The following is a 21,332-nucleotide window of genomic DNA, read 5'->3' as shown; positions in this document are numbered from 1 at the left end:
AAACACATAGACGTTTAACAAGATCATTAAAATGGATAGCCTTGCTAGATATTGAGGAATTAAATGAATTTTGTTTTAAGAAAGAATATGTCTCCTAAAAGGTGGACTCAGCTTACAGCATTGTAAAACAGTAAGAAAGAATCCACAAAGGAAAACGGATAGAGTGCAAAGATGTTTCATTCATATCTACAATTTATTCTACACTGAAACCAGAGCACTGATAAAACAGCTATCTCTATTTTTAGACCAGAAAAGTTGTGAAAAATTGGTGTTTCCAAAGATTAAATGCAGTAATTTAAGGGAATAATTACTAATAAGCTGTATTCAATGGTATCTTTTACTTAGCAGATAATGGGCAGTCACTAGTATCTGTTATGTGATGTGCATAACAGAAGTCACAGGTTGTATGGACTTAGATAATTTAAAAATCATTATGGTGATTTACTTTATAAATCAAGGGGCATACAGCCACGTATTGTAAACATTTGGGGCGTTGTTCCTTTATCAATTTATTTTATAGGAGACAAGGTTTTATTTTGTTTTTTTCCAGTGGAGGCAACAATATAAATAAAACGTATTGTTTATGCTAATGGAGGTACATACTCATCTGCATTAGATATTACATGATAAGTAATATCTGCTAATTCATTGACCAGAAACATATAAAAATATTGAAGCACATGCATTTTTCTATATCTGTTCCAAGGGATTGGTTTTATTCCTTTCCCCCACCCAGAAATAGCCTGCTTCTAAAGTGTGATCTTTTTCCTAAGACACTATACTGCACATTCCATTTTTTGTGTACAAATTCACCCATAGTGTTTTCCTGCTTCCAGAAAAATATTAAACATTTCAGCTTGTATTCAACATTGCCTGTAATTTTGTTTTGATTTAAATGTGTCCACATCTATACATCTCTTTTAGTGAGAGTAGGCAATGTAAAAGTAGAAAGACGAGAACCATAGAATGTAAGTAACCTGTTTAAAAAGTTGGACAAATGAAGATCTACCAAACTCAACTGAAAAGTTGTTTAACATCATCTTTTCTCTACTTAAAAGCTGTAGAAGTTTATGGCTTCTCTACATTTTTTACAGCCTTCCTAAATAGGGGCATTGCCCATTCCTATAATTAGAACTCAAATATTTTATTTTCATTATGCAAGAATTCTTAAGTATATTAGGGGAATTTCTGCTTCTCAGTTTCTCCCCTGTGCTCTTCTTAAAATACTAATCTAACATGAAGGTGCAGTGTAAATTCTGCCCCTTAACCACTTCAGATTTCAATATATTAGCCCAACTTATACTACTTTCTGTCTTGATCACTCACTGGGCATTCAGCCTAGGTTCCCTGGTATTATTATTTACCTGTTGAGATATGTTCTATTTTCCTAAATACATTACAAGCTTTTTTGTATGGAGGCTATCTATTATCTGTCTGTCTGTCCAATCAGTCCATCCATCCATTTATCCATCCATCCATCCATCTAACAGATATAGAAAGATGCATGTGCTTCATTATTTTTATATGTTTCTGGTCAACAAATTAACAAAAATATCACTTATGTAATATCTAATGCAGATGAATATCTACATCCATTAGCATAAACACTAAAGAACACTAATGAAACATCCATCCATCTGAATTCTCAATCATTTTTCAAATCATAGGCTCTCAGCAAATGTTTGCATATTCTGAGGAGCATAATAACTGACTAAAAGCATTTTAACATAACGTAAGAGCAATAACATGGTGCTTGAGTCTCTGTGATATGTAATAAAACACCATAAACTAAGGTCATTTTGCTTGACTATTCAGTATTTATTAATTTGCTATATCTAGCATGGTGCCAGTTGAAAGATCAATTTTATTCTGATAATGATATATTTTCCCTGCAAAATAAATGCTTACTTAATGGGGAAGAGTATCTCCATTTTAAACAGAATGATAGTTTATCAAATTTCTTTGAATTAGAAACAGTATATGCAACAAATCTTGTGTTGATAGTGTTTGTGAAAATGGCCACACCTGGTTATCAAAAAGTTGTAATTTCTTTTCTTTGTGTGTGTATGTATGTGTGTGTGTGTGTGTGTGTGTTGTTGTTGTTGTTGTTTGTCTTTGTAGACAGAGTCTCGCTCTTTCACCCAGGCTGGAGTGCAGTGGTGGGATCTTGGCTCACTGCAACCTCTGCCTCCCAGGCTCAAGTGATTCTCCTGCCTCAGCATCCTGAGTAGCTGGGATGACAGGTGCCCGCCACCTCATCTGTATTTTTAGTACAGAGGGGGTTTCACCATGTTGCCCAGCTGGCCTTGACCTCCTGAGCTCAAGCAATCCACCTGCCCTGTAAAGTGCTGGGATTACAGGCATGAGCCAAGGTGCCCAGACTGTAATTTCTTTTATATAAATATAATTATAAGCAAGATTTGTGAAGGGTGATTACTTGGAAAGTAGACTTTCAAATATAGAAAATTCTTAATCCACTTAAGTATTTATTTTGTGAGAGCTCATTTCTCATTTTGAGAACTATTGAAAGAATATAATATTATTGCCAACTCACTATATGCACCAACTGCACTGGGATGTCTATTCCAGTATCTTCAAACACTATATTCTCCATTACATTCTCAAGAACAAAATAAGACACAAATAAACAAAAGCAACCTACTTTTCAGCAAGTGAGACACCGCTTGACTTTTCGCCAGCTGAACTTCCTATTTCCAGCATTGAATGTGAATATACAAATTTCCCATTGCTAGCAAACCTCAGCACACTTGCTTTTATGAACATAGGAATGTTTAAATGATATTTGATTTGAATCAAATGTACAAAGTTAATGGGCTTATTAAGGTTTTAAACAAGATGAAATAATATAAGGAATATAATCAATGCCAATAAATCAATGACATGTTTTACTTGTCCTTCCATCATTGATCTAGTTTAAGTATTTTTTAAAAGGACAAGTAATTAAAAATGAATTATTACTTATTTGATACATAATTTGATGCTCCTTTGGAAGTATTTCTACAAATATGCCAGCTGAAGTCAAATGTGGACTGAAATTTCAGCTAGATGAAAAATCTCAAGGACACATTGAGACCAAAGAACGAAAGAATCTTCCATTCTCCCTGTGACATGAACAGCCATGCACTTAACTCTAATGAAGTGAACACTCATTAATTATGTAGATAGAGACAGTTCCTCCCAAGTTCAAACTCCCACATGAATCTGTATGTTGGCAAACAAAGAACTGATGTTGCTGAATGTCAACTGAGAGAAGCTCAGGAGTCACACTGTAAGGTCACCTTCAAGAAATATGTATATGTTTTCAAGGGGCCTCTAACTTTAATTAGAAAACACTAAGGAAATTATAAATGTGTCTATTAGAACATGCATCATTGTAACTTAGAGTCAATTTTCAAACTGTTAGGAGGACAGACAACCATAAATGAGTGGAGGAAGGTAGACAAAAATATCTGGAAAACTGCAACACTCAAAATAGACGGCCTTCAGTTGCAGTTTTACTAAAACCTTGTGAGACTATATGGTCACAGGGTGACCATATATTTTCACTTTTTTGTCAGATCATATGAAATATTTTGTCTAAAATTCACACATTTAAAACATTGACAAATAAATTATTTTAAAAAATTCAGGATAAACCCAACACTTTTAAAGCCAAATTAGGCCTTGAATCTTCATTTCAATCTCTAATCTTTGGTACTTTCTATATCGCTGCTCTCAGTGGGACTTTCTTTGATAATTTAAACAAATTCTCCATATTCACAGTAAGGAACTCATGTTTGTAAATTATCTTTTTACAAGTTGCCAAAAGATCCCTTTTACCAAGTAAAAAAAAGTCCTAGCTTGCAGAGAGTGGAAGGAAGGAAGGAAGGAAGGAAGGAAGGAAGGAAGGAAGGAAGGAAGGAAGGAAGGAAGGGAGGGAGGGAAGCAGGCAGTCATAGTACATACAGTTATTACATAGTGAAACCTCTTCATATGTCAGATGTATAAGACCTGATGCTCCAAATGAGCCCTCAAAGGAGGTATAGAGGCAGTTTCAAGTGACATACAATGACAGCGTATGGATGGGCACATAAAAACTACAAATGTATCTATCCAGAACTTCCTCAACAATAGAGTTATTGTCTCTAAATGTCCCTTTTATGTTAAACTTTAATCAAATATTTTTATGTAATATTGTGATTTCATGAGAATCTCTCCCAAGACATAGATTAAAACTCCTTAAGAGATTAAACTGTGATTATTATAAACAGTAAACACAAATCTCACCAAATATTTCAGAGCTAACTTGCTGGGTTTATTAAATTGAGTTATTCTTATCTTTCTTCTTTATTTCTTTCCTTGCTTCCTTCCTTCCTTCTGTCCTCCCTCCCTCCCTTTCTCCCTCTACCCTCCTTTTCTCCTTTTTTCCCTCCCTACTTTTTCATTCCTCTGTGTTCCCTTTCCTTTTTCTTTTTCTTTTTTTGCCTTTCCTGTACTCTCTTTTTATTTCTTATTCCGTTTTTTTTTTTTTTTTTTTAGACCGAGTTTTGCTCTTGTCGCCCAGGCGCTGGAGTGCAGTGGTGCCATCTTGGCTCACTGCAACCTCCGCCTCCCAGTTTCAAGTGATTCTCCTACCTCAGCCTCCCGAGCAGCTGGGATTACAGGCACCCTACGCCCAGCTAATTTTTGTATTTTTAGTGGAGACGGGGTTTCATCACGTTGGCCAGGATGGTCTCAATCTCTTGACCTCGTGATCCACCCGCCTTGGCCTCCCAAAGTGCTGGGATTACAGGCCTGAGCCACCGTGCTGGGGCCCTGTATTCTTTTGTTCCCTTCCCCTTCCTTCCCTAACTTCCACTTCCCTCCTGTGCTCTTCTCTCCCTTCCCCCTCTATCATTCTTTCCCTTCCCCCTTTTTTCCTTCTTCCTTTCTTTCCTCTCTATCATTCTAGGAACCTTACTTGTAGAATGAAATGTGCACGTAGTTCTAAATACTTAATTTTAAAGTTTAAGTCTATTATATACAATATATTGATTTATTTCTTCTATAGCCCTTTTACTACCCTGTACAAACTCTCAATTTTACATGCCAACATTTTTCTCTTTATCTTATTTCATTACGTCTAGATAATATAGGACTAATAAAGTAAATGCAGTCAGCATTTCTTTTAATTCTGAGGGAGGCTTATTCATTGATAAATAACTTTTCTTTAAAGGTTGCACAGCAAATTGTCCAATAATGAATATACTGAAATCACATTATCCTATATTTAAAAATATATACTGAAATCAATGTATCTTATATTTAACATGCTGAAATTGCATTATCTTACATTCTGGAAACCTCTCATTCAGCCTTTCAAATGTTTCTTTACTTTCAAATCAAGCTTCTGTATGCTTTAATCAATTACAAGGGTCAGAAACAAAATCATTCTTGCTTTTTATAATATATCTCCTTCTAAAACTCTTTACAACAGTATTTCCCAAACTGGCTATTCCCACATGCACTTCTGTTTTTGGTAAATGTACATCTGTTTGATTTGTAAAGGATTACTTGTACAAATAATCTTGATTAATACTACATATCAAATATATCTCATGCAAATTCACATTATACATTAGCAAAGTAAAGGCTTCCATCTATCTATTAAAGGAAAGAACAGAAAAAATTAAATAAAACTTGTTTCTAATGTTTAAATTTATTGTCGGGGAAGAATTTTTCCCTCTCGCTTATTAATGTCCCCATAAATTCTTTTCTTTTAAATTCAATTTGTATGGCTTTAGAAACAATAATTACTATTAATACTTATTGTAAAGTAAGATAACCTTAGATAACAATTACTATTGTTATTACATGTGTTCTCTCTGTGGAAAATATGTTGCCCCTTCATTAGATTTTTCTGTCTGACCCTATGTACTCTCCTTTCTGCCTTTGAACTTACATATTGTGAACTCACAGCTTACCAATTTGTATTTTTTGTAGGTTCCCTTTTTCATCTATTGCTCCATATGCTTCATAAGAATTCACAGCACACTGCTTGTATTAAAACACAGTTCCACAACTGGCTTTGAAGTCTATTTGCAAGATAATTTTGTGGGACAAGAGTTATAAGAACACTTTAAATATAGCTGTATACTAAAATTGATGAAACCAATTTTTGAAAAAAATAATAAAAATATGCTTTTTGTTCTTCCTTAATAGAACCCAAATCCTTCATACATTTTGTTAAAAGTCTAAAGGGCTTACTGGGTATTGCTTTTTTTTCATATGACATATCCTCTCTGGCCACCTCCGAAAGGACATTTGTTTCTTTTATTTTATATTCATTAGTTATTCAGATATTGTAATTATATTATATTACATGCTGTATATGACCTAGCATTAGGTAGTGGTTTGGTACTAGTTGCTCGCTTTGGTTCTGGGAAAATATTTTTATGAAGTAGACTACTAATAATATTACATTTCTTCTAGCTTGTCATTACTCCAATACATTATGTCTTTTTTGTTACAGCTATTCTAACTAGTGTGAGGTGATATGTCACTGTGGTTTTAATTTGCATTTCCCCAATGATTAACAATGGTGAATTATTTTTCATATATCTGTTAGTCATTTGTATGTTTTCTTTTGAGAAATGTCTATTCAGGTCCCTTACTCATTTAAATAATTTTTTCTTGCTATTCAGTTGTCTGAGTTCTTAATATAGTTTTGATTTAACACCTTATTGAGTGTGTGGCTTGCAAATATTTTCTCACAATCTCTAGGTTGTCCCTTCGCACTATTATTTTTTTTCCTTCCTTTGCAGAAACTTTTAGTTTGATGTAATCCCATTTGTCTATTTTTGCTTTTGTTGCCTGCACTTTTGGGTTCAAATCTAAAAAAATATTGCCCAACTCAATGTTGTATAGTTTTTGCCCTATGTTTTCTTCTAGTACTTCTACAATTTCTGACCTTACTTTTAATTCTTTAATGCATTTTGAGTTGATTTTTGTATGTGTTGTGAGAAAAAGACCAAATTACGTCTTCTGCTTGTGGATATCCAGTTTTCTCAACGCCGTTGATTGAAGAACTGTTTTTTTCCATTGGGTGTTCTTGATAGTTTTGACAATTGACCATACAGTGTGGGTTCATTTCTGCACCCTCCATACAGTTCCATTGGTCAATATGTCTATTTTTTTCTTGGGAGGGGGGCAGTACCATGCTATTTTGATTACTATTGATTTGCAGTGTAATTTGAAATCAGATATTGTGATGCCTCTAGCTTTATTTTATTTTGCTCATTATTGCCTTGAGTATTAGGCCTTTTTGTAATTTCACATAATCTATAGGATTGCTTTTCTATTTTTTATGAGAAATTACAATGAAAGTTTAAGAGAGTTTACATTAAAACTGTAGATAGCTTTGGGTAGGAAGAAATATTTTTTTTTTCTTTTTTCTTTGAGATGGAGTCTTGCTCTGCCACCCAGGCTGGGGTGCATTGGTGTGATCTTGGCTCACTGCAACCTCTGCCTCCTGGGTTAAAGCAATTCTCCTGCCTCACCCTCCTGAGTAGCTGGGATTACAGGCTCACACCACCATGCCCAGCTAATTTTTTGTATTTTTAGTAGAGATGGGGTTTCACCATGTTGGCCAGGCTGGTCTCGAACTCCTGACCTTGTGATCCATCCAGCTCGGCCTCCCAAAGTACTGAGATTACAGGCATAAGCCACCGAACCTGGCCAGGAAGAAAATTTTTAACAATATTAATTCTTCCAATCTATGAACATAGATATCTTTCTACTTATTGTGTCTTCAATCTCTTTCAGTAATGCTTTAGAGTTTTCAGTTTAATGCCTTCTTTTTCTTTCTGATTTTGAGTCGCCTCTCTTTTTGCCCTTAGCCTAGTAAAAGGTTTGTCTATTTTGTTTATTTTTTTAAAGAAGTGACTATTGGGTTTTTTTCCTATGGTTTTTCTATTCTCTGTTTGATGTATTTCTGTTCTGATCTTTATTATTTACTTCTGCTAACTTTAGGGTTTAGTTTGTTCTTCCTTTTCTAGCTCCTTGAGGCATAATGTCAGGCTATTTGGGATCTTCGTTCTTTTTAAGTAGAGGCATTTGTTGCTATAAAGTTCCCTTATAGAACTGCTTTTGCTGCATTCTGTAGGTTTTGATATATTATGTTTCTACTGTCATTTGTTTCAATATATTTTTTAACACTCCTTTTGATTTTTTATTTGACCTACTAGTTGTTCAGGAGCATGTTGTTTAATTTCTACATACTTGTTAATTTTCCAAGATTTCTCTTGTTATTGATTTCCAGTTTCATACTGTTGTGGTCAGAAACAATACTATACATAATTTCAACCTTTTTGAATTTGTTAAGATTTGTTTCATGGCCTAAACTATGCCCTGTCTTGGAGAATGTTACATGGACAGTTGAGAAGAAAGCACATTCTACTGTTCTTGAATGGAAAGTTCTATATATGTTTGTTAGGTTCATTCCATATAAAGTTTTAATAGTCCATTTGCACACTGCTATAAAGAACCACTTGAGACTGGGAAATTTATGAAGAAAAGAGTTTTAATTGACTCATAGTTCTGAAGGCTTCACAGGAAGCATGACTGGGAGGCCTCAGGAAACTTACAATCATGGAAGAAGACTAAGGGGAAGCAAGGACCTTCTTCACATGGTGGCAGTGGGTGCAGGTTGTGGGGAGAAGTGTCACACTTTTTAACCATCAGATCTCGTGAGCACTCACTCACTATCACAAGAAGAGCATGGGGGAAATCTGCCCCCATGATCCAATTAATTCCCACCATGTCCCTCCTTAAAATGTGGGGATTACAATTCTACATGAGATTTGGGTGGGGACAGAGCAAAACAATATCAAAAGTGCAGTTCAAGCCCAGTATTTTCTTGTTAATTTGCTGTCTGGTTGATTTACCTATTAATAAAAGTGGGGTATTGGTGCCTTTTACTATTATTTTAATTTCTTTTTTCAGTCCATTAATATTTGCTTTATATATTCAGGTGAATCAATATTTGGTGCATATATATTTACAATTATTATGTCCTCTTGATTTATTTCCTCCTTTATCATTAAATAATGACCTTCTTTGTCTCCTATAAATGTTTTTCACTTGAACTCTAAGTATAGCCATCCCTGCTGACTTTTGGTTACCATGTGCATGGAATACATTTTCCATCACTTCACTTTCAGTTATGAATACTCTTAAAGCTAAAAAGAATCTCTTATATGCAACATGTAATTTGATCTTTTTAAAAATACATGCAGCCACTGTATGTATTTTGATGGAAGAATTAATTTACATTCAAGGTTATTATTGATAGGTAACAACTTACTCTTGCAATTTTTATTCATTGCTTTTTAAATAAAGCATTATTTTAATTTGCATTTCTTTTATGACATATGATATGGAGCATCTTGTCATATGCTCTCTTGGTATGTGTGTATTTCCTTTGATGAGGTGTCTGTTAAGATCTTTGGACCATTTTTTAGTGGGGTTGTTTATTATGATTGTGTTTTAAAAGTTCTTTGCATTATTAGATAATTATTTATTAGGTATGTCTTTAGTACATTTTTTTTCTTCTCTTGATACCAGATGATTTTTAACCTCTCTTCTCTCATTTCTACATGAACAGTGTCATTTATAGTTGGCTAAATTCTTCCATGGTCCTGATATCTTGTACCTCATCCTATCCTCTAAATCTAGAAGAAATGAACAAAATGGATTTGAGATGCTCTCACTATCTTTTTCCTTTTCTATGTACACCTTTCCAAAACTGGAATGTAGATGGAAAGAGAAGAGAGAGAAGTAAGAAAAAGGTAGCAAAAGTAAAAGAAGAGTTATCATTCTTACGCCTGTTATCAAATAGAAGTAATCTTTTTTGCTTACCTTTCCTGAAGACTAATTTATTATAGTTTCATCTGTCACATAATTCTGTAACACATTACCTTGTTTATTTGTAAAAACTTGCTAAATTTTATGTAGTCTTTGTTACACTGAGAACTCTAGCAGGGCAGGGGTCATGGTTATATTGTTCACCATTATATACTTAGGATCTCACAGCTACGCTAAGTAATATTTATGTACTCAACAATAGTGAGACAGTATGGGTAAAAATTGATTCATTTATGGTCCTTGCCATTAGGACACTCATATTATCATCTTAATGGAGAAAAAGATACTTTAAAAATTGTAATATTATATACCAAATACTATATAGGAATATCTGAAAATGTGCTATGGTTCCAAAAGAGAGAGATCATATATATTTCTGTGGCAGCCTAGGAAAAGTGTGTAAAGAGATGAAAAGGTCAGCATAAGAAATTTATTTGGATGAGAGAATTCAACCAGAAAATTGGAGGAAGAGTGAAAAAAGGTAAACTCAGGCAGAAGGAAACCCAACTTGTTTGTATTGTTATCAGGTTAGATGTAGGGAAGAGGGGATAAATTCAGAAAGGAAATGATATGGTTTGGCTCTGTGTCCCCACCCAAATCTCATTTTGAATTGTTCTCCCATAATTCCCATGTATTGTGGGAGGGAGCCAGTGGGAGACAATTGAATCATGTGGGTGGTTCCCCATACTGTTCTCGTGGTAGTGAATAAGTCTCACGAGATCTGATGGTTTCATCAAGAGTTTCTGCTTTTGCATTTTTCTCATTTTTCTCTTGCTGCCAGCATGTAATAATTCTTTCACCTCCCGCCATAAATCAGAGGCCTCCCCAATCATGTGGAAATGTAAGTCCAATTAAACCTCTTTTTATCCCGTCTTGGGTATGTCTTTATCAGCAGCATGAAAACAGACTAATACAGGAATCTTAAGATAGGTAAAAGAAAGGGATTGCATGACATTGTTAGGAGTTAGTATTTTATCTGATAGCTCGAGAGCACCACTAGAAAATTTTCAGCAAGGTACTGATTGAACAGATACACAATGTGAAAAGATTATTAGGTATCAGAAAGATTGGTTCACTTTTATCTGACACCATTTGGTGATTAAAATGTTATGGATTGATATATTTTTAAAGATGAAATTACTCTTTTTGTATCCTTATCATTTTTGCTCATGAATTTCTTATACTTCTATAAAATTAAGGTCTTTCAATGGTATTCCTCTGTATGAGCCCATTTTCATGCTGCTGATAAAGATATACCTGAGACTGTGAAGAAAAATAGGCTTAATGGCCTCACAGCTCTTTGTGGTTAGGGAGGCCTCACAATCACAGAGGAAAGTGAAAAGCACTTTTTACATGGTGGTGGCAAGACAGAATGTGAAAGAAGTAAAAGTGAAAACTCCTTATAAAACCATCAGATCAGGATGTGGAGAAAAGGAAACCCTTGCATACTGTTGGTGGGAATGTGAATTAGTGCAACCATCATGGGAAAGATCCATCAATTTTACTTCTATGTATTTACTCAAAAGATTTGAAATCAGTTTGTCAAAGAGATGTGCACATTCCGTTACTCATTGCAGCACTTTTCACAATAGCCAAGTTATAGGATCAACCTTATATTTATAATGGATCAGAGAATAAAGAAAATGCAGTACATATACACACAATGGAATACTATTCAGCCCTAAAAAATAATGAAATTCTGTCATTTGCGACAACCTAGATGAAACAAGAGAATATTATGCTAAATGAAAGAAGTCAGGCACAAAAAGACGGATATCACATATTCTCACTGACATGTGGGATCTAACACATTTGAACTGATAGAAACAGAAAGCAGAGGCTGGAGGGTTGAGAGAAATGGGGAGATGATGGTCAAAGGGTAAAAAATCTCAGATAAGAGGAACAGGGTCTTTTTAAATCTATTGCACAACATGGTGAATATAATTAGTAACAGTGTACTGTACATTTCAAAAATTCTAATAAATTTCAAATGTTCACACCATAAAAAAGTATCTGAGGTGATTGATATGCTAATTAGTTTAATCATTCCTTATTGTATTCATAAATCACAATGTCACTTTTACGTCATAAATATACACATTATAACTGTTTAGTTTAAAAAATTTTTTTAAATAATATAAACGCATTCTAATTGAAGGAATATTTATAGAATATGCAGGAAAATATTCAGGTACCTAAGATCATAAAGGGAGATGCTTATATATGGCATATAAAATGTATCAATGAAGAATTCAAATTATAGAGTATATGTATTAGACAGTTGCCTTTTATTAATATTCTGTATATCCTCTAACTTGTGAAAAAGAAAATGTTATCAACCTGTAATGAAACAGCCAACTATTTTTACTGGTTCTGACATATTTCATATATATTAGTTAAAAGTGACTGGTGAAATAGATTTGCTGTCATATTTCTTGAGTATTAAACCATGAAACTCTGACACTAAGTATGAAAATAGAAATAATTTTATCCTATAAACCCTACCTTTCTTATGATTTTGCCATCAGCAATCATTAGAATAGTGTTAGGAATGGTTATGTCAGCAATGATTTCCTTACTATTATGCTTTTTTCCAAATCTAATGTAAAATTCCAAGGAAAGAATTATAAGAGTTGGACCATTTTATATTAAATCATTATCCTGATTAATCATTAAGAACCCTAAAATTGGAAGAAAAAAATATATCTTTTTCAAGACAGTGAACTACCCATCCTTTAAGTATTGCTGAAGTCCCTTTTGCAATTTGGTCTGTCTGCTTTGGTCTCACTAAGCTCCAGCTATCTAAGTCCCTGCACTAATAACAGGTATTTGTTTATGTCCAATATTGCATTTTTCTCTATTTTATGTCAAATTTGTTTTTCCTTATCTTTCTTCTAAAAAAGAAAGATGATTTATGTTTATATTTTATGTTCATTATTTTACAGAGCTAAGCAGGAAAGAAAGAGTAATGAAATTCTTGTAGATTGGTCAAATGTAAAGAAAATATACAGGCCTTTGGAGATGATTTTTCTCCTAGTATATCTTGAGCTCTGTTTACTAAAAAGATTGTTTACTAAACATGTCTTTAGAGATGATACTTCTCCTAATACATTTTGAGCTCTGTTACTAAAAGTTCAAGACATGTTTGGAAATGGAAAACCATTTTGCTTGTTCAGATAATGCCTTATGATAGGAATTTTCTTAACTTTATATAGTAGATATCAATCACTCTCTTCCCACAAAATGATAGTTATCTAATTACAATATACTGATTGGCTGATGGTAAAATCCCAGGTAGGTTTCATTAGAAACAGGTTTCCAGCTGGTTAACAGTGGGTCATACTAATACTCTGCTTTCTCGGCTATATATTTAATATCCCTAAACATACAAAGACAAGACAGTTCTAAAAATGTATAAATAGAGACCACTAACATATTCTTTCAATTATTAGAGAACATTTCTTCAAAACACTTTTTTTTTTTAATTTTCTAAAACCTCGTATTAGAAGTGATCAAAACATTTCTTTAAAATTCTTTATGCTACCTATTCTGATTCAAGTACTAAAAATATAATATGCTCAATCTTTATCACAATCCAATTATGTGAACATGGTTATATCTGCTTATACATGAGGACACTAAGTGTAATAGGGACTCAGTAACTTCTTCAGGTTTCATCCAGGTGAAACTAAAATTTGCACACAGGTCATCTGACTACAAAGGCCAAAGACTCCATGCAACATGCTATGAATATGTCTGTCACATGAGGGTCAGCAAATGCAAAGCATTTGGGTTTGGTATTTAGAACAAACATTTGACTAGCTTTTTTCTAATAAGAGTGACTCCTCATTGATCTTACCCACCTCTGCTAACCCAAGGACAACTATCTGACATAGTCTGACAGTCTGTGGCTAACTGATCTAAAGTAAAATTTGAAGCCATGGTCTTGGACTAATAAGTAAATGAATTAAATGATCCAATCTTTGTGTATAAAATCTGTCAGAACTCTGTTTTATGAGAATTATCCATTTCTACATTGTTTGGGTACCATTTGGTCAACATTTACAATATTAATCACGGCTGTTCACAGTGGTGCTCACAATTCATCAAATTCCCTGTTGAAGCCTCCTAGATTGTAGCATGCAGCCTGTTAATGATGTCTGTGGAGCAGGCATAACTTATTGAGATGCTTATGTTTTCAGTGACATATAATCTAGACTTAACAAATATGCCAGGAATGTACAGCTTGAACAGGTGTAATTTGAGTTTATTTGTTAATTCAGTCTCTGAAAATTATTAGATCTAGATTTAGCCCTGCAAAATCACTTCAAATATTAAAATTGTGCTGCTTATGCAAAGGGAAAATAGAATGCATTTTAATGGAAGGGCTGACCTGCAGAAAGATGAATAATTTGCATCAATTTTTGTGCATTATGTTAAACTAATGAAGACAAATGTATTCATTCACTTCAGTAAAGCTGAAAAACGGAAGGCTGGCAATTTTATGCATCTATAATGATGAATATTTCAGTACTTATTATATCATAAATTGAGAATTTTAGAAATGGATGGTGAATAAAACAGGGAACGACATTCTTCTCATACTGATTTCTATTTTTACAAACATTGGCATCTGCCTCAAACAAACAACGTACCTCCACTGGTACCAATTCTACATCTCTTACCTCACCAAATAATGAGAAATTTAAAAATAAAGAGTGAATCTTAAGCATTTAACATTAGAAAACAGAAGTAAAAAAAGGAAATTTCATTTTGTTTATATGTCAAAGTAGTGTACTTCTACCATAAAAACTCAATGTTACATTTTTTACTTTAGGCTAATTATGGGTAAGTACATTATAATTTGATAAAAGTTACTTGAGGATTATTAATGGTACTACTGCTTTTTGATATTCATAGATAATATTGTTTTAAAGCATTAGCTTGTAAAGGTAACATTAAAGTCAATTACTAAATAAAATATACCCTAATATTTCTAATTAAATCAGTAAATATGAGAGAAAATGTATATAACAGCTTTGTGTATGGCTAAAATTATTTTTAAATTTAATCTTCATATTAAAGGGCATTGTAAATATGTCCACTTTATCTTTACATTCTTCATGTATAGTGTGTATTTCAGTAATTCTCTATTATATGACTAATTCATTTTGGGTTTTGTTCACAGAAATAGTTACTCACTGTTAAATAATTATACACTCACTGACTGGAATTCACTATTGATTTAATCCCACAAGTAAAATAGAAACAACTGAAATTATAGAAAATTACATTATTAATAATATGCACAAATATGAGCACAATTCCCTCCATCCCTTTTTCAGCTGCCACATACAATGCTTGTTGTTAAAGTTGTGAGGAACTAATACATGAAAGAAAGAGGACACTAACTCATTGCTAAACATAGAAATCATCTTAATGAGACCCTTCAGTCATTTGATAATATTTCTACCAAATTGCATAAAGCAAAGCAAAATAATACCAACTGGCCCTAATGGAATTTTTTCTAGACTGCTGCTTTCCTACCAGCTCACGGACTGCTGAGTCTGCCTAGTCCTCAAAGTGCAATATGCACTCAACATTTGAAAAAGAGAAACCAAGAAGGCTTTTAAGTACAGGCAGTCAGGAGAGAAGCAATGCAGCCAAAAATGCTATTAAGGAGGAGAAATGTTCCCAGTTCAGATAAATAGATTATCACCTATGGTGAAATAAGAGACAAGACGGCACCTGCTCACACAATTTAGACATTCCTTAATGAAACTGCTATGATTTTGCTCCTTGCTTTTAACTCACTCCGAGCCTTTAAAAATATTGTTTTGAATGAAATAAGAAGTTCAGTTAACTTACCAAGTAAGGTCTCCTGCAACTTCAAAAATCTACCACACAGTAAATGCCACATTAAAATAACGTTGCTGCAGTCAGGAAAACTATGAAGGAATTTAATGTCACTCCAAACTTAATTAAACCTGCTTAAGCTTATTTAGCATTTACTTTCACATCATTGTTGATTGCTCCACTAAGCTATTTTTGTGTAAACAGAGGTTCCTTAATTAAATAGCTTATTCTGAGTCATTCAGCGATCTCACAGCACACTTTGGGCAGTAATGATCACACTCAGAGTGATGAATGGTGATGGGGAGGCCCCTAAATGAATCAATTAGAAGGAGGCATGGCAGGCTAAGAAGATAATATATGAATTTGGGGGAAAATGGGGCAGGGGTGGATATATGCACAATTTTTAATTTTTTTTCTGATTTCCCACTCAAAAAGACTCATAATATTTCCCGTTTTAATCTCCTCATCAAACCACATAGGCTTTCTTGAAAATACCTCAAAATCTGAGCAATAATAAAAGCAAAGAAAAGGAAGTTCCCCTCTTTGATCACATATAGGATATTACTAAAGGTGAAATTTTCACTATGGATTATAGCTCCTGAATATATAAATTAAAAAGCCTGGGGAACTTCTGGAAGTAATCTGAGTTTTTCAGAACCTTAGCCCATATTGCTCTGCTTTGAATATAGCTATTCTCATTAACTCTTGCTGAGAAAGAGCAAGAACCTCAAGGAATATTTTTCACACCTTAATGAATTCCTTTTTTTTGTTGTTGTTTATAATTAAGTACAATTTTTAAAGTAAGTAAGTAAGTAAATATATTAACACACTATTATCATTTTCAGTATGCTTCAGCAATGGTAACATAAAAGGCAAATGCTAATTTCCCAGTTGAGAAATGCAGATTATGATAGTGGCTGAAACAATGAACAGCAAAAGAGAGACAAATAAATATCTCTGCCCTTATCCAGACAATGGAAACCAGGAGAGAGTGATAGCAATATATGAGTCTCATCCAGACGATGCAAACCCGGAGAAAATGGTAGTAATATATGAGTCTCACTCCTTTCAGAAATGATACTAAAACATGGGTTAATTTATTTCAGCTCTTCCCAAATGAAACTATAGGATAATGGCAGCCTAACAGACCCCTGCTTCCACCTCTCATAACTACTTTAAGAGTGTGCCTGATTTTTTGAATGTATTCTAAGACATCAGCTAACCATATTTCTCCATGTAGTCTAGCCTAACTTAGACGAAACTCTGAGAATCTATCAAGCACATTATTTGCCAAATTATTTAGCATTTAAATGGACCTGAGATATACAATCCTCTTCTTTTACTAGTTTAAAAAATTAGAGGCCATAAATTTCAAGTTACTTGTCCAAGAGCACAGTAGTGACAAGAATAAGTTCAGAATATCAGTGTGCAGAATACTGCATGATGATATTCATAGCACATTATCAGCCTCTTCTTTTAAGAGTATATGATTTTTCCTAGGAAAAAACATATTTCAAAAATTATCAAAGAAGTTGTGCATCACAAATTCCAAATAACTGGTGCATTAACTCATGAAGTTTCTGGGTTCAGTATGCATTTCTTATTGAGGGAAAGAACCATAACTGACCTAACTATGCAGAATGCCAAGATTTGAGCACTCCCATCACACAGAGCTAGGGCAATAAACCAAAGCCTTACTGGCGATAAAGGTATAATTTAACACATTTTGAGAAGTAAAAAAATGTTTCTCAGCAATATAATTGTGAAAACACAATCATTTTAATACATTTATAGTATATTAAAATTAATTGCCCAATTTTGAATTTGTACATAATATTGGAATAACAGGGACAAAGCTTGAGGAAGCCTTTCCCTGGTGCAGGTAATAAAGGGGGTATATTTTCTGTGGAGAATTTAAAAACAGTGGCATCCAGTATCATTATGCACTGGGAAGTCTAAAACATGTAAAATATAAAATATTCCTCCTCCAAAATATCTTTTGTTGGTCTAAGTTCTAAACAATTATTGTTGAGTTTTAACAACTGAGCTTTTATTGACTTTTTCAAATTAGCAAATATTTATATTTAATTCTTTAATAAGTATTGTATTCTACCTGGAAATAAAATTGGACAATTCCAATTACACCATTAACCCCTCAATTATGTGGACTCAGCTACACTTGCCTATTTTGGGAGTAAGAACTCGTTTGTTTTTTTTCATTTCAATAATGACTGCACAATTATTCTTTATTATGACTCTACTACATAAATGCAAGAATTAGTATCTCAAAATTTTGTCAAAACTAATTCGAGCTTTTTTTAAACCATAATACATTTCAGATGATTTTCCAAATGTAATATTATTTATTTAATATTAAATTTTTTGGTAGAAAATTATTGGACTTCCTAGACTTTTCAGAGTTGCCAGAAATCAATGATCGGTTTTAACCAAGTCATTGACAAATTTGCAAAAGTAAAGGTCCAAAGCATGTACAGCATTATTAGATATTACTGTGATAAATCATGAATATGTTTTCCCTTTTCTTTCAAAAAGTACATTGATGTAATTAAAATATGCTATGACTTTTTTCCCTCTGTACAATTAGTTTCCTGTTGCTACTCTAAAATATTACCATCAACTTAGTGACTTAAACCAATATAAAATTTATTATCTCACAGTTCTATATGTCAGAAGTCCTAAAAGTGATGTCTCTGAAGGACTGTATTTCTTCTAAAGGTCACCTGGCATTTCTTGGCTCATGGCTTCTTCTTACATCTTCAATACCAAAAAATAATATCTACAAATCTCTCTCCTCTCTCTTCTTTCTCTTTCTCTCTCCCTCTCTCTACTTCTTTCACATCCCTGTCATAATCACATCGTAACTATGACTCAACCCTACACTCTCCCTTTTACAAGAGCTCTTGTGATTACATTGGACGCACCTGGTTAATCCAGGAAAATCTCCCCATCTCAAGATCCTTAACTTAATCGCATCTGCAAAGTATCTTTTGCTATGATACATATTCAAAGCATATGCTATATTCAAAGTATATTGCTATAAAGTAACATATTCAAAGGTTCTGGGGATTAAGACATGGACATCTCTGGGAAGCCATTATTCTGTCCACTACATGTACACATGTACTGTAATGTTTTATATATATATGTGTGTGTGTGTGTGTGTGTGTGTGTGTGTTTACTTACGGCACCATCATATACATATTCATACATGTTTGTATATATATAATCAAGAGTTTTATTATGGTTTTCTGGAAATTACAATTCATTATCTCATTTGATTATTTTGACTAAAAATGATTTGCCATATGAAAGAAGGGGGATGTTAAAAATAATCCTTAGTGTTAAATATTCTAGATATGTCATTGGTAAATAGTCTTCTATTTCTACCTTCTTTTAAGTAAAACAATTCTGATAATATTCATGAGAGCCATTTATGCCTCACTTATTTTCGTTAACTCTCTAAGTCAAATACTATATTTGTAAGCCACAAATTTAAAAAAGTAAATTGTTACAAAAACTTTAGTGTACTCATAAAACATTTTTTGAATTTAAGATTGAAAAGAGAAGGTTAGCTGGGTTATACTGTGTGTTTTTCAACACTGATACAGTAAAAATATCTACTGACCATTTTGATAGAAATTATTTTTTCCTATTTTTGACTTATCTATTCAGAAGAATATGTCCAAAATGATAACCTGCTTTTATACAATCAGAGAGGTAGCAGGATGCATTTGGTAAAAACAAAATTCCTAATGGCATACGTGGACACACTATTTTTCCCCTGTCTTACAGCAACTCAGATTAATGAACAAAGAACAAAGAGCTGACATATAACCTACCCATGGGAGTGCCAACGCCATAACCTTTAGAGTCTATAAGGCCGCCAATCTGTGTCAGGTTACAGTTCCGCTGGGTAACAAACTCGATGGTTGTTGACTCCATTAGGAAAGCATAATCAGAGGTGAGGACTCGCTGGATTCCTTCTTCATTACTTTTGACCAGCACTGACTGCCTTCTGCTACTCATAAAGGCCCACATTTTGTCATACGTGGAGATTTTTGATTTCTGAAGAAAATAAATATAAGTTGGTCACGAGAAAGTTATTCTTTAGTTTCCATGTGCTCCTATAATGCTTAGACACAATGAACTACATTTACTTTACTTGTACCATCTTAATATAATTTTTAAGGAATATATATATATATATATATACCAAAAAAGTCTGAATCTGTATAATGACTGTCTCATAGCAATTTCTCGTCATATTTCTAGGTATAGTATAGATTTATTTAACAAATATATTTTTAAAAATCTTCATGTTTAAAATCACATCCCAGTAAATCACTGAAAGCTATACATACAACAGAAAACAAATGATTTATAAGGAAGTTCTTTGTGCTTGTCTCTTACCTGAGTATTTCATATTTGTCAATATTTCTTTACAACAAACGTGGAAGAGAGAAATACTGCACTCAGATTGACACTGTAAGACTCCAAGAGTTTGTTTGTTTTCCCCCAACTTGGGTTAACGTAACACAGATGCTACATTAACCCCCAGGGATACACAAAAAATGTATGGGTTGAAGAGACGAGCAGAATGTGTTACAAATAAGGATGTTACAAATAAAGATGTCTACATTTCCACTGAGAAACAATTTGATCACCTCAGTACTTCTTTAAGCTGGACTTCAGAAATCTATTATTCAGGCCTACTAAATAACTAAAGATTCCTGGACCAATACAATTGAATAGTGTTTATATCCAACTGAAAATTCTCAGGAGGGCTTTACTAGAATTTTATTACTAAAAGAAGAAAATAGGTTTTGTTCAGAAGGCCCTGGTAAAACATAAACAGGAAAAACGTTAGCATCTGCTCCTTGAAAGTTCATCTGTGAAACCCTTATCATCATTTAATTATTATATTATACAAATACCAAAAATAATCCTGAAGTTACAAACACAGGAAGGATATTCATCATACTGCTTGTATTATCATAAAAAGTTAAAACTCTTTTCAAGCAAATAGATATGGAATATTTTTTACAGTTTAAGTGTGCTTTTATTTCTACATGTGCAAGGAAATAAATGTGATATTACTACTACTTCCACTACAAGGCAGGCCCACAATATTACAGAGAAAAATCCTGGCACTGTTTCAATGATAAAATGGAAATAAGTACCTTATGATTTACTAGGAAAAAGAAAAAGGTACAATGAGTGCTCTATAAAGACAAGGACAGAATCAGGGCTAAGACCGGGTAGAAATGCAAACCTTTGCTCCCCAGTGAAACACTGAACATGCCTGCCTCATCTTCCCAAAGTGCTAGGATTACAAGCATGAGCCACCATGCCTGGCCAAGATAATTATATTTTATAATAGTACACAAATCCATTCATTGTGAATATTTTACTGTAATCCATGTGATAAACACATCAAACATTTTTTTTTAATCACAACTGAAAACCAACCAACTTTAAGACATGTTGCTACTGTATCCTTTACAAATGTATATAGTTTCATGTTAAATTACTAAGAACTATCATATTATTTC

The 21,332-nt window shown here is 33.3% G+C and overlaps 1 protein-coding gene across 6 annotated transcripts in view; it reads right to left on the bottom strand.

Moving 5' to 3' along the window:
- Nucleotides 1-21,332, bottom strand: part of GRIK2 (glutamate ionotropic receptor kainate type subunit 2) — a 676,376-nt gene that overhangs the window by 14,898 nt on the left and 640,146 nt on the right. For all 6 annotated transcript variants that reach the window (XM_047418681.1, NM_021956.5, XM_047418682.1 and 3 more), the window contains one exon: nucleotides 19,620-19,845. In XM_047418681.1, the coding sequence (XP_047274637.1) occupies nucleotides 19,620-19,845 (226 nt within the window). The remainder of the gene's footprint in view (nucleotides 1-19,619; nucleotides 19,846-21,332) is intronic.

Source organism: Homo sapiens, chromosome 6, assembly GCF_000001405.40.
Source record: "Homo sapiens chromosome 6, GRCh38.p14 Primary Assembly".
Classification (NCBI taxonomy): Eukaryota; Metazoa; Chordata; class Mammalia; order Primates; family Hominidae; genus Homo; species Homo sapiens.
The sequence above is the reverse complement of the archived record's forward strand: the minus strand, read 5'-3'. Positions and strand labels throughout refer to the sequence as shown.